General features: G+C 50.8%; 1 annotated feature.

The window, feature by feature from the left end:
- Positions 429–930: an enhancer, noted in NCBI's record as "H3K27ac hESC enhancer chr5:4892907-4893408 (GRCh37/hg19 assembly coordinates)". NCBI's record gives its function as "activates a minimal SCP1, AML or CMV promoter by ChIP-STARR-seq in naive H9 embryonic stem cells {active_cell/tissue: H9 hESC(naive)}" and the evidence as "EXISTENCE:reporter gene assay evidence [ECO:0000049][PMID:30033119]".

A 1,247-nucleotide genomic window follows, 5' to 3' on the forward strand; every position in this document is an offset into this window, starting at 1 on the left:
AAGCTTGTGCCTGAGTCACGAAGTTCTCATGCCATGGTTTTCAGCTCCATCAGGTCATTTAAAGACTTCTCTACACTGTTCATTCTAGTTAGCCATTCGTCTAACCTTTTTTCAAGGTTTTTAGCTTTCTTGTGACGGGTTAGAACATGCTCCTTTAGCTCAGAGAAGTTTGTTATTACCGACCTTCTGAAGCCATCTTCTGTCAACTTGTCAAAGTCGTTCTCCATCCAGCTTTGTTCCGTTGCTGGTGAGGATCTGTGATCCTTTGGAGGAGAAGAGCTGCTCTGGTTTTTAGGATTTCCACCTTTTGTGCTCTGGTTTCTCCCCATCTTTGTGGTTTTTTCTACCTTTGGTCTTTGATGTTGGTGACCTACAGATGGGGCTTTCGTGTGGATGTCCTTTTTGTTTATTTTGATGCTATTCCTTTCTGTTTGTTAGTTTTCCTTCTAACCATCAGGTTCCTCAGCTGCAGGTCTGTTGGAGTTTGCTGGAGGTCCACTCCAGACCCTGTTTGCCTGGGTATCACCAGTGGAGGCTGCAGAACAGCAAATATTGCTGCCTGATCCTTCCTCTGGAAGCTTCATCCCAGAGGGGCACCTGCCTGTATGAGGTGTCAGTCAGCCCCTACTGGGAGGTGTCTCCCAGTTAGGCTACACAGAGTCAGGGACCCACTTGAGGTGGCAGTCTGTCTGTTCTCAGAGCTCAAACACCGTGCTGGGGGAACCACTGCTCTCTTCAGAGCTGTCAGACAGGAACGTTCAAGTCTGAAGAAGTTTCTGCTGCCTTTTGTCCAGCTATGCCATGCCCACAGAGGTGGAGTCTACAGAGGCAGTAGGCCTTGCTGAGCTGCAGTGGGATCCACCCAGTTTGAGCTTCCTGGCCACTTTGTTTACCTACTCAAGCCTCATTAATGGCGGATGCCCCTCCCCCTACCAGGCTGCAGCCTTGCAGGTCGATCTCAGACTGCTGTGCTAGCAGTGAGAAAGACTCCATGGGCATGGGACCTGCCAAACCAGGCACGGGAGAGAACCTCCTGGTCAACTGGTTGCTACTACCATGGGAAAAGCACAGTGTTTGAGCAGGAGTGTCCCATTTTTCCAGGTACACTCTGTCATGGCTTCCCTTGGCTAGGAAAGGGAAATCCCCTGACCCCTGGTGAGGCGACACCCCACCCTGTTTCGGCTCACCCTCCATGGGCTGCACCCACGTCAACCAGTCCCAATGACATGAACCAGGTACCTCAGTTG

Source organism: Homo sapiens, chromosome 5, assembly GCF_000001405.40.
Source record: "Homo sapiens chromosome 5, GRCh38.p14 Primary Assembly".
NCBI classification, from domain to species: Eukaryota; Metazoa; Chordata; class Mammalia; order Primates; family Hominidae; genus Homo; species Homo sapiens.